This window comes from Homo sapiens, chromosome 6 (genome assembly GCF_000001405.40).
Source record: "Homo sapiens chromosome 6, GRCh38.p14 Primary Assembly".
Taxonomy (NCBI): Eukaryota; Metazoa; Chordata; class Mammalia; order Primates; family Hominidae; genus Homo; species Homo sapiens.
This window is the reverse complement of record NC_000006.12, coordinates 147278232-147291254: the sequence shown is the minus strand read 5'-3', so window position 1 is coordinate 147291254 and position 13023 is coordinate 147278232. Positions and strand designations below refer to the sequence as shown.

At 35.9% G+C, this 13023-nt stretch overlaps 1 protein-coding gene across 15 annotated transcripts in view; it reads right to left on the bottom strand.

Annotated features, from left to right (window-relative positions):
* Positions 1-13023, bottom strand: part of STXBP5 (syntaxin binding protein 5) — a 186057-nt gene that overhangs the window by 99219 nt on the left and 73815 nt on the right. For all 15 annotated transcript variants that reach the window (XR_007059202.1, XR_007059201.1, XR_007059203.1 and 12 more), the window contains one exon: positions 83-161. Coding sequence is in view for 12 of the 15 variants with exons in the window: in XM_047418197.1 (XP_047274153.1) it covers positions 83-161 (79 nt within the window). In the remaining 3 variants the exon portion in view is untranslated. The remainder of the gene's footprint in view (positions 1-82; positions 162-13023) is intronic.

Sequence of the window (13023 nt, the reverse complement as noted above, 5' to 3'; positions counted from 1 at the left end):
TTCAAAATTAATGATAAAATAGCCTTCCATGCTATTTGAGGACTTATATACAATGAACATTGGCAATGAAGTAAAATCTTACCCAGATCTAGTCGTTTTGAATTCCACCTTGAGGATAGGTTTGCATGGTTCTGGCTTCTTCCCATCCTTTAACTGTTTTCCTAAAATATATTTTCCTGCATTAAATTCTAAAATTCTAAGTTACTCTACATTCTTACATTGATAGTTTATAAAATGAAAGTGAAATATAATGAAATCCACCATGAAACATTTTAAAGTGATTCTGAAAGAGGCATTTAATACACAGTAAGATATTTTTTAAATGATCAAGCAAAGTTACCGTTTGAAATTCAGTGCTAAAAAGCAAATATAATTAATAACTTAGTAAGAACATTTATGTGACAAAATTCTAGCAGGAGAAACTGATAGTTTTTCCAATGTTCTTAATTGCAGATAAGCAACATAGAATTTCAACTTGCTAAATGAATTCATTTTAAAACAGCAAGATTTGAGAAAAATAAATCTACATCACATTTTCACCCCAGTGTGACAGGCTGCAATATTAAGCCCTATGCTAATAAAATCATTTATATTTATTCTCCTTAAGTAAATACATCCACTGTAATACCCAAAAGACTGCTAAAATACACCAACCTCTATAAAATGTGTCAGAGACTCATTTTGCCAAAGAATTCTAATTATTTTTTAAAATGTTGATTTCAGTTATCTATTTCTACATGTTCACTGTAGAAACTATGGAAAAGTAAAAAATAAAGAAAATAAAACATTTATTTCCCATATTTCAGAGATTAACCACTGTCCACATTATAATACTTCTTCTGGCAAATCACCTAACTTGGGAATGGTCTGAGGAATTCCTGACACTCACCCCTAACCTAACACCTCTTACCCTCTTTCACAGCTTTATTTTTTCTCCATAGCACTTGTCACATTCTAGTATCCTTTATATTTACCTTCTTTGTTTATTGTTTGCCTAACTGGCATGTATGTAAATTCTAGGCAAGCAAATTTTTTTTCTTTTTTTTGAGACAAGGTCTCACTCCTGTAGCCCAGGATGGAGTACAGTGGCATGAACATGGCTCACTTCAGCTTCAACCTCCTGGGCTTAAGTGAGCCTCCCATCTCAGCCTCTCAAGTAATTAGACCACGGGTGCATACCACCATGTCTGGATACATTTTTAAAAATTTTTGTAGAGATGACAGATGGGGTTTTACCATGTTACCCAGGCTGGTCTCAAACTCTGGGCTCAAGGGAGCTGCCCGCCGCAGTCTCCTGAAGTGCTGGGATTACAGGCATGAGCCACTGCACCCGGCCAGGAAAGCGAACATTTTTAGTGTATTTGTTTTCTGTTGTGGTATCCCTGGTGACAAACATTGTTTGGCATATAGTATATCTGGGTAAAGTTTTATTCTAGATAGGTTGTGCCAATTTATAGTTCTATCAGCAGCGTAAGACCGTATTTTGCCATATCCTCCCCTAGCAATGTTTTTTTTTTTCTTTTTGCTGATTGTTAAATAAAAAGAGTAACTTATTTTAATCTGATGTGTTTGGATCCCTAACTGGTCATGTATACTTCTTTTAAAAAATAGCTTGCTGTTCTTTATCAATGCTTCTACGTCATCTTCCTTGTATTAGAAAATAAATTTTACTGTCCAGGCTTATTAACATTCTGTCAATCATGTATGTTGCAAATATTTTCCCTAGCGAATTCCTACAAATTAAAAAAAATTGTACAGAAATACACATCTAAATAATCAAGTCTATCAGCCTTAATATGTTGCAATTTAAGAAAATATGAAATCCTAAAATATCGGTTCTTCCAAAATTAATTTATAAATGTAATGTAATTAGAATCTCAACAGCTTTTCTTGAATTTGGACAAAGCGATCTTAAAGTTCACCCAGTAGACTAAATGTCTATGAATGGCTAGGGAAACTACCAAAAAGATCAACTTCCAAGATGATACAGTGAATATCATAGGTAGGTAGGCATGAGTGGGGCAGGAGAGGGCTCTAGAAATGTCAGATGATGGTTTGACAATTATCACACTGCCTCACTAAAAGTGATATTGGCAGCCGGCGCCAGGGAGAACCCATTTCCTGATGGTCCACACCTGCTGCACTAAAGTGTTAACTGAATGCAAGCGCCAGGGAGACGCAACTTCCCAGGCATGGGCAGTAAGTAACAAAATGGTGGAGTATGACCTTCGGGGGGCACTCCACTGGAAAACAGAGGGAAGCCTCAGATGGACGTGTGTACGAATTCCTAAACACACTGCACGTGTTCACCTACCAAGGGTAAGGAGGGCACCACACATAGGGGCAGCACACCCTAAGGGAAGAATCATGGGAAAGGGGCAAGCCTATGAAGTCCTAGGGTCAGAGTTAAACACTGCACTTGTTTTCCAAGTTGCCCACCTGGATCTCTTTCAAGTGTTTCTTCCCTGTTCTAAAGCCTTTTTAATAAACTTCCACTCCTGCTCTGAAACTTGCCTTGGTCTCTTTTTTTCTTTATGCTCCTCAGTTGAATTCTTTCTTCTGAGGAGGCAAGAATTGAGGTTACTGCAGACCCATACAGATATACTACTGGTAACTCAGATATATGCCACCAGTAACAGGAGGACCTCGATGAACTTGCTCTCCCACAAAAATGAAAGTACTATTAAAACAACTAAAGTTAAACATTTTAAAACTCTGGAGAATGACCAAGCCACTAACAAGATGAAAAATCATCTACCCAATAGATACTACTGAACTTCAGTAACATGAGGGGTTCGGGGACAGGGGACTGTGGTATTTTTAAGGAAGGTCTATTTCTATCCCCTAGCTACCCAGCTCAGTGGTAGGCTAGCCATGAAAATGCAGTAGTATCAGCCAACAGAGAGGACTGAAGTTTTCTTGGAGCTCTGTTAAAACCACTTTTGCTACAGCACAATCAACATTTTGTGTGAACCTGCAGCTCCCTGGAACTCTATTCCCAAAGTGCTGTGGCTGTCTCATTTGACACAGACCTCAAATATGGGAGACAAAAATCCCTACCCCCAGGGCATTCCAGAACAATAGCAATCTGTTGGAAGTATTACAGCTGCCTAAGGCTGTAGTTTCAGTTGAGGCAAATGGAACTCAGGCAGAAATTTAAAAGAAAAGCTCCGAGAACTAGACACATTCATGGCGGTCTAAAAGGCTGCCTGCCCAGGAAAGAGTGAGGAAAGGAGAAGGCCCCAGTCACTCATTTCTGGCCGACTTTGAGATCCTGAGCAAACAGGAAGAAAAAAAAAAAGTAAAATGACTCATAACACCTATCACTGGCAAGGACACTGGAAAAGGGATACTCATACATGGCTGGTAGAAATCTGAAGAATATAGCTTTTTTTGAAAAATGGTTTGAGAACATTTATTAGAAATAATAAAACTTCAATATTTCGGGGTGGAAATTGTACTCTGAAGTATTTATTCCATAGAAACAAAAGGACCAATTCCTATGGCATATGTACAAAGATGGTAGCTGCAGCATAATTTGCAATGTTTAAGAAATGAAAACAAAGGGAATGCCCATTAATTTGAAATAGCTGAATAAGTTGTGATACAAACAACTGGCTCTGACACAGCCATTAACATAAAAGAAATGCCAGAACATTTGGAGGAATCTTCCTAAAGTACAGTGATTAAGATGCAAAAAAGGAGTTACAAACAATCCAGTTCCACTCTTTAAAAGTTACTTTAAAATGTACAGGCCGGGCGCGGTGGCTCACGCCTGTAATCCCAGCACTTTGGGAGGCCGAGGCGGGCGGATCACGAGGTCAGGAGATCGAGACCATCCCGGCTAAAACGGTGAAACCCCGTCTCTACTAAAAATACAAAAAATTAGCCGGGCGTAGTGGCGGGCGCCTGTAGTCCCAGCTACTTGGGAGGCTGAGGCAGGAGAATGGCATGAACCCGGGAGGCGGAGCTTGCAGTGAGCCGAGATCCCGCCACTGCACTCCAGCCTGGGCGACAGAGCGAGACTCCGTCTCAAAAAAAAAAAAAAAAAAAAAAAAAATGTACAATTAAGTTATTATTGAACTATAGTCACCCTATTGTAACTCAAACGATAAATGTTTGAGGGGATTAATACCCCATTCTCTATGATGTGCTTATTTCACACTGTATGCCTGTATCAAAATATCTCATGTACCTCATAAATATATATATCTAGTATGTACTCACAAAAATTTTAAAAAATTTTAAAGATGCAAAAACACTAACATAATCCTAATTTTTGTAAAACAATGATCAGAAAAATAATCTCATGTTTATTTGTGTGTATGTGTTAATACACATGATTTTAGAAATACCTATATTTTAGAAGAATATCTGTAAGATTTTTGACATAGCTTACCTGGTGGGACAAGAAAGGAGATTGGGCTGCTAACATGGGAAAAGGCTGAGGGAGAAGGAACTGGTATGATAGGATCTCATTTATGTATAATGATACATGTGTATGAAAAAAACTATCCGTCTTTTTGGTCCCTCCCCTCTTTGGTTTTACGCTTGGAAAGTTCTTCCCCACACCAAAATCACATAAATCTGCTTTTTCTTATAATTTAGAATAGATTCATTTATTACATTAATTATTTTCTGATGTGTATTTTGATACAGGGAAGACATTTTCCTCTTAATAATTAATAAGCTATCAATCATCTGAGTGCTAGTTTAATAGCTCTACTGAGCTATAACTGCTAAACAAAAGTACACTACTTAAAGTGTACAATCAGATGAGTTTTGACATAAATATTTACTTGCCAGCTCAATTTATTGAACCATCATTCTCTCCTCACTAGTATGAAATATCACCCATATTAAATTTTTATAAATATATACTTGTACACTGACTGGTAATGGAACATTGAATCCTGTCTTAATTTAAGATCCTAGAGAATAATCCCTTTCCCCTCCTTATGAAGAAATGGTTGTACAGGGAATCTTGAATCTCTAGCAGCCCAATTTACAGGAACCAAGAAGTGACAGAAGTGACCAAGGAACTGGAAAGAACTGCCAGAAGAAAGGAAAGGATTGTTGAGGTGGGAGAGAGAATTGCAAGGAAAATAAAAGGTATCGAAAAAAGGAGGCTTAAATCTGAAAAGTAGTCCCTTGTGTTATACAAGGAATAAATTAAGAACTTCAACCTCTATTCCAATCTATATAGAGATGTATATGACCTTTCAGTAAAAAATTTAAATGTTTGCTCTGAAGAAGGTCAGCTGGCTTTTATCCTCTTTCTACCATGCAGAGTTCTAGTGGGAGAGTCAGGCTGACAGAATTTAGAATTATAGACACAAATTTTACATTTAGGTTCAAACATGATTTTGTTTTATGAAGTGAAACAATTATTCAGAAATAACTCCTTTAACTTACTTCAATATTCAACATCAATCTTTCAGAGGTTGGAACAAATTCTAAAGGACATTAGATGGTATTTGCTAAACGCTTCCAAGCCTGAGCTTCTATATCTTGCAAAAAACCTGGCTAGGTACAAAATTCTTAACTTTCTTCTTGCTCAATAGTCCCTTGATATTGCTCTATTGTGTTCTAACATTCAGACTTACAAGTCTAAGTCAGTCTGATTTCTATTCCTTTAGAAGTTAACTTTTACTTCTGTCCCTCTGAGAGGATGTTAATAGAGTAGTTTCATTTTCTCTGTAAATGAAAAATGTTGCAGTGTTTAGAGTGATCATCCTGTATTAATTTTGCTTGAAAAAAACCCAACAAATCCTTGGTCTGCATATTCTGATATCTTTCCAACCAAGATGTTTTAAATAATGTCTCTGATTACTGCTTATGGTCTAGATAGGTTTATTTATTCATCTATAATTCTAGGCTAAGCATTTTCTAAATCAAATCAAATAATAAGGTACTACCCATGATTTTAAGCACATATAAATGGAAAGACATTTAGGGGATTTCACCACTAGGTGTCATTTTACTTCTTAAATGCTATGCCACCAGAGGAACAAAAATACGTGCTTGTTCTTTTAACTATCCGTGAACTACCTTGACCAGTCAGTTAAAAGATCTGATTAATTATAAAACCTCACTTAATAACTCACATAAACTTCCATGCCACATCTGATTTCTCCTTCTTACTATGGCCTATTTCCCCACCCCTCAAACCACCAAGCCTCAAATAATTGGTTTAAGTCCTATTGATTCTAATTCCAGAATTTCATTCATACATGTCCATTTCTTCCCATTTCCTCTAATAAAATCTCCATTATTTATTAATGCAAAGCTTCCTAATTAGCCACCCTCTTCTGCCTCCAGCCCACCTGATGTACTATCATTAAAGTGATATTTTTAAGATGTAAACTTAATGCTTCTCACTAAAAACTCAATTACTAGGTCTCCATTATGAAGTTCAAACTTTTTATCATACTTTGATATATAATCTTGCCTCTGTACATGGTTCTGTTTTCACTTCCTGCTACTTGCCCAAAGGCGTTTTAAACTCTGGTCATATTAAACTATTAGCAGTTTTCCAAGAACACCCCACTTTTGTTTATGTCTTTGTGCCTTTGTGCCTTCTAAGATAACTTTGCCCTGCTCTTTGCTACCTTATACCACCAGTATCATCCTTTAAGACCAAGTTCATATACCCTGAATTTGTGAAATAGTCCAACACCTTTTACCCAAAACCAGTCACCACTTATTTGTTTCCATATCATGTTATACATGCCTTTATCAGCACTTATCACAATGTATTATATTTATCAGTTTATAGATCATTTTTATTCACTTGATGATGAGCTCTTCAGGACAGTATATTTTCAGTATTTAATCTCTGGTAGGTAGGAGGTGCTCAATGTTTATTCAATGAATAAAGATTCATTTAAAATGAATAAAGATTACTGACAAAAACAGTTGCTTTCTAAAGTTTTAATTTTGCCAGTTAGGATGAGGAACATATTTTAAGTGTTATGCTTGTTACACTGCAGTTATGTTCTCAGTCTAGCGTGGCTATCCAATAGGGTAGCCGTAAGTCTACCGTGCACTCAAAATGCACGGACAGCGGGACACGTAAAATGTATCTAGTCCAAGTTAAGATGTGCTAAATACACACTAGATTTCAAAGATTTAGTACAAAAAAAGAATAAAATATCTCAATTTTATACGTTGATTACATCATGAACTAATAGTTTGCATATTTGGGATTAAAGAATATGTTATTAAAATTAGTTTTACCTGTTTCTTTTTACTGTTTTTAACATGGTTACTAGCAAATTTAGAATCACACACGCAGCTCACGTTACCTTTCTATTGGACAGTGATGTTCTAGAAAATAAAAAGACAAACTGAAGAGCCACATTGCTAATAATACTAGTCTGCAATGGGGAGGAGGGTTGTTCCCTCCTAAATGAGTGTACAAAGTTGATTTACGGCTGGACTTGGACCCCTGAACATCTGTTTTTTTACTTTTGGCCAAGAAAAGGACAGTGGGATTTATGATGTGTTGTTTAAGGCCCAAAACTTCCCTGGTAACCACCAGTGTATAGTTTTGCTGCAGGTTGGCAAACGGCCTAGTTGATTTATTAGCAAGACTGGCTTGATCATTACAAGGGCCTTCCTGAGAGTTTCTCTGGAGCTCTTCAGAAGCCAGATCTTGGTGACTCGAGGTGGACTCAGCACAATCCTCGTGTGTAAGTGCTCACTGGGAGCTCACATAGGGGAGGGATGTTTCAGAATACCTGCCTGCATTCTCTTTCTCCTCCTGTATCATATCCTTCGCCTTTAAATCATGGTCTTGTTTGAGTATGCTCTGTGGAGTCTGGTAAGTCTTTTCAAATACATAAACTGGGGAAAGGTTTGTGATGAATCATAAGGAACTGAGGTATAATTTTATTATTTACTGAATGTTTTAGATTTCAGGTGAATCTTAAAAGCAGATTAATGGAATTCTTTACACGTCTCATCCTTAACATATTAAGCTGACGTACTTAGGTGAATTTGAATTTTATTTTTCCCTCAGTGACCTTCAACAGAATAAAAGTTCCCCAATCTTGGTTTACTTTTTGATAAGTAGATTGATTACATTGATGAATAAGCTTCAGAAACTAAATTTAAAATATCATTTCCTATAATAAAAATCTATGGGTTTTGACTGTCTAGCACAAGCTTGTCCAACCCATGGCCTGCAGGCCACATGTAGCCCAGGACAGCTTTGAATGTGGCCCAACACAAATTAGAAAATTTTCTTAAAACATTATGACATTTTTTTTTTTTAGCTCATCAGCTATCATTAGTGTTAGTGTATTTTATGCGTGGTCCTAGATAATTCTCCTCCTTCTAATATAGGAAGGCACCCCTGGTCTAGCACCTCCATTTCCTTAGGAAACCATCTGATTCTGGTAAAGCTGACAATCACAGAAAATCTTACTCTGCAACACATCACCCTCAACCCTGCGCTACAGGGGAGGTCCTGTGAGGCCCTGGCCCAGGAAATTACAAAACCAAGATGAGTGCTTCAGGGTAAGAATCTGAGCCATGCCAATACTGTCGAAGTTATTCCCTCCTAAGTAATGAAACCCTATCTGCCATGGGAGAGAAACAAGCCAAAAGAGAAACAGCTTACTCCTAGATGTACCATACAGAGATGCAGAATCTATGGCCCACTGAAAGGAAATAACCGCAGAGTCATTATATGGAACCAAATCCTGCTTAATTTTCACATATTCACTAAACTTTGTAGCTTAAAAATCCTGTTCAATCTTGCCATTTTACAAGTAATAAAGCTTAAGTCTCAGAGAAAAGGAATCTCCACAAGGTATTTCACACATAGCACTTACAATTAGATTACAGGTTGTCTGACTGCCAGGGAAATGTTTGAGACTCATAAAAGTGAGATTAAAGGGACCTATCACCTTTTGTTTGTTTTTGGTAGTCAAAAATAACCTGTTGAATCTTAAAGTGAAGAAAAATGCTCATCTTTAATTCAGTATTTCTAAAACTTCTTTCACTATGACATACCTTTTCCACCAAACGAATCATAAATATAAGAAAAACTAGTCTTTGTGGAATATATTTTGGGGGTTCACTAATCCATTCTACCAAGTAAATAACAAGTTCCACACCTACACTTCCTAGAGCCATATATGAATAGCACATCATAATTTCCGGGTAATTTCACTTCCATTTTGATTATTTGAACCACAGCTAAGAAAAGTGCCTATCACACAGTAGAACCAATAAATATTTGTAGAATGAGTAAATACAATCCTCACAACAACTGTATGAGACTAGGTCAAGTTTCATTATTATTTGTATTCATGGATGAGAATATTAAGGCTCAAAAATGTTAAATGACTTCCTAAAGGTCACAGAGCCAGAAACTATGGAATTAGTGCTTAACTACAACTCTTCTGGCTTCAAAATCCCATGTTATATAAATGCAACATAATACCTTCTGAACAGATTCTTCAAGGATATCTTAACCTATTTTTAACACTAAACACCCTAACACTAAAACTCATCGTAAAGTACTGGTAGGAGACTTAAATTATAATCAGTTCTTGGCAATCAAGGTAATACTGTAAATGTTTTTTAAGACTAAGATACTTGAACAACCATTAGATGAACTTAAATAAGAAAAAGTAAAAAAGTACTCAATTGTAAAAGGCTAGTATATTTAAACTAATTTACCATAACTGTTTGGCTAGAAATTAAGAGCAAGAAACCACAACAGACAATAGTAATGAGAAAGTAGAACAAAATTTCAATCCATCGAAACAGTTAATATAATGAAAATGATGTACCACAAATGTGATCTCTATGGAATAGATGATACCCTTGTTATGGTATGCAGAATGTAGTTTTGTACTTTAATGTATAAAAATGTACTCAGCTGGCCAGGCATGGTGGCTCATGCCTGTAATCCCAGCACTTTGGGAGGCTGAGGCGGGTGGATCACCTGAGGTCAGGAGTTTGAGACCAGCCTGGCCAACATGGTGAAACCCTGTCTCTACTAAAAATACAAAAAATTAGCCGGGCATGGTGGCAGGCGCCTGTAATCCCAGCTACTCAGGAGGCTAGTGCAGGAGAATCGCTTGAACCTGGGAAGCAGAGGTTGCAGTGTGCCAACATCGCGCCATTGTACTCCAGCTTTGCCATGAATTCAGTTGTAGAGTCAACATGAATTTAGCTTTGGTTAGTTACCTGTCACTTGGTAGTTTTTACTGCCAAAAAGAAAGCTGGAAACCCTATTACACTTGAAAGGAATTCAGATTTTCTACATATAGCTTATATAAAATAAAATAAATATGCCTTACTTTATATAAAATTCTGGCCATCTACTATTAGACTGCTAACACTACACAAATACCATCCTAATTTTTAACACCAGCCACAGAAAAAAATCCATTTATATTTCATTTGGATTCTAATTTTGAGAAAACATTAAGTCACATATTGTCTTTTTTATTTAAAAATAATTTTAGCTAGTGACCCTTTTCTGCTAAGACAATATAAACACTGTAGAAACTGATTTATACCACTTACTAGAGTCTGCTTTCAATGACCTAAGCTTGTAATATAAAAAAAGATTAAGACCAGCTAGACAATCATTATTTGGCAACCATCACAGTAATAGTGAATTCAGCTAAGAAACATCAACAGATGCTAAAACTAAAGGGGAAAAGTTTGATGAAGTATAATATGTTCATAGAGTCTTGTGGAACTTCCTTCAAATCAAAATACTTAACAATTATAAATACAAAATTTATTTCTCAATTTCAAAAGTAAAAAGAAAACCTTTTTAATAATGGAGAGAACTAGCAGAAGACAGAACTTTAACCAAAGGATCAGGATATGAGATACCACTAATATGGGACAAATCAAAAACGAGTTCCACTTGAGAGGATGCAAAAAGAACACCTCAATCCTTTTGGGATACTCCTGCCAAAAACGTGCAACCTAAATCTCATCATGAATAAACATGAGACAAAACCATACTGAGGCACGTTCTATAAAATAACTGACCTATAATCTTTGTAATTTATCATATATGAAAGTCAAAATGTTCAGGAACTGTTCCAGTTTCGAGAAGAAACATGACAACCAAATCTAATCCACATAAAACTCTTTTGAATAAAGGCAAAACTTGGTTATATAGAAAAATGTCCTTATTAAAAAAAAAAAGACCATGGAATATTTGCAAGTGAATCAGCACCACATTGACAACTTACTCTCAAACAGATCAAAAGAAAAAAAGATCCTTTGTACTATTCTTACAAAACAAGATAAAAACAGATAATCTTCAAGCTGCAAAACTAGCATTACATATTTCTATCATCTTTGACATGAGTTTCATTTTCTTCTGGGTTTAAAATGAAAGATTTTTGAACTAACCACACCTTATTGGTACTTTTTTGTTTATCTGAATTCGTAGGTTCCAGCAGGGTTAGGAGATTCTAAGATTCATGGGAATTTTTAGGAGTGTCGAGATGAGGAACCTAGATACTAATAGAAGGAAGGAACAAAATACATTAAGAAAAACTTGAACCTACTATCATAAGAAATATCCTCTAGATGCACTCATAAATAGATGTGTAGGGAATTTCATGTAAGTGCTTTCCCAGAAGATGATTGCTGTCACAAAGCAGTGGTAAAGTATTTCACAATATGTGGTTTCAAGAACTGTTATTTTTCCCAGAAAACAAGCAAGCCTAAAATCCCATATGCCACAGATAGATAAAACTTGTTTTTAATTTTACTGTTTCTTTCATTTCTATATTGCAGTAAGTCAAAATATGTCAGCTTTTTTAAAAAGTAGGTATTCAAATTTTAAAGCAAACAATGAAATACTAGCAATAGCTACAAGGACAATCTTGAATATACTATCAATTTATAGAACAGTTCCTTTAATATGAGTTCCCTAAACTTGCCAGGAAGGATTCTCGTAGGGTGAGGGTGGAGAATGAAGATTAATAAAGAAATACAAATTCTAAAACAAAAAAGGTGGCCTTCATAATCTGTTTCTAATAAATATTATAATAAAAATTTCTTATAAGTTTTGTTAAGTACTACTTATGCAGAAAATAGTTAACACAGCAGGTCTGTGGCTGCTATCACTACAAAGATCTGCTTACAAGGTTGGCCCTTGGCTGATGTCTAGGAACTTGGTTTTCAAGAAAACGCTCATTATTCCCTGAGGAGGATGATTTACTCTGCCTAATTGGTTTGTACAAAGAATATAGTTTATGCTGAACCCCTGCCTTGCTTCTGGGAGTCTCGAATTGTGGTACCTGCTAAAGCAGAGGATGCCTGCATGACTGACCCCAATAAAAACCCTGGACTCCAAGGCTCAGGTGAGCTTCTCTGGTAGACATATTTCACACATGTGGTAACAACTCCTTGTTAGTGGAATGAAGCCTATTCTGTGTGACTCCATAAGAAAATAACTCCAAGAAGCTTGAGCCTGGTTTCCTCTAAACTTCATGTGTTTTTTCCCTTTGCAGATTCTGCTTTATGCCTTTTTGTTGTAATAAATCACAGCAATGAATATGACTATATGCTGAGTCCTGTGAGTCTTCCTAGTGAATCATTAAATCTAGGGTGATTCTGAGGACTCCTGACACCATATTTTGATATATAAAATTACCTTCTACAGGGTTCCAAGTATTTCAAGTTCACTGTTATTTATATATTAACAACCTGCAACTGACAGCTTTGAGATGGAAAAGCTTAATGTAAATCCTGCATCATTTTCATTCACAAAACTATTATTTTCTGGACTATTAGAGACATGATATTCAGAAAATAATATAACATTTTCTAAAATTTCAAATTTGCAATTTCAACTGTAAATATGCTTAATTTGAAATTTTATTAACTGGTTGTTAGATACTATTTCTATAAGTGTAAATATTTTTAATTCCCTAAAAACAGAAGGAAACCCATCCTTATCCTAAAAATCAAACAAACAAATCAGAATGCAAACTCAAACAAAACAGTTTACTGTACGTTACAATTAGG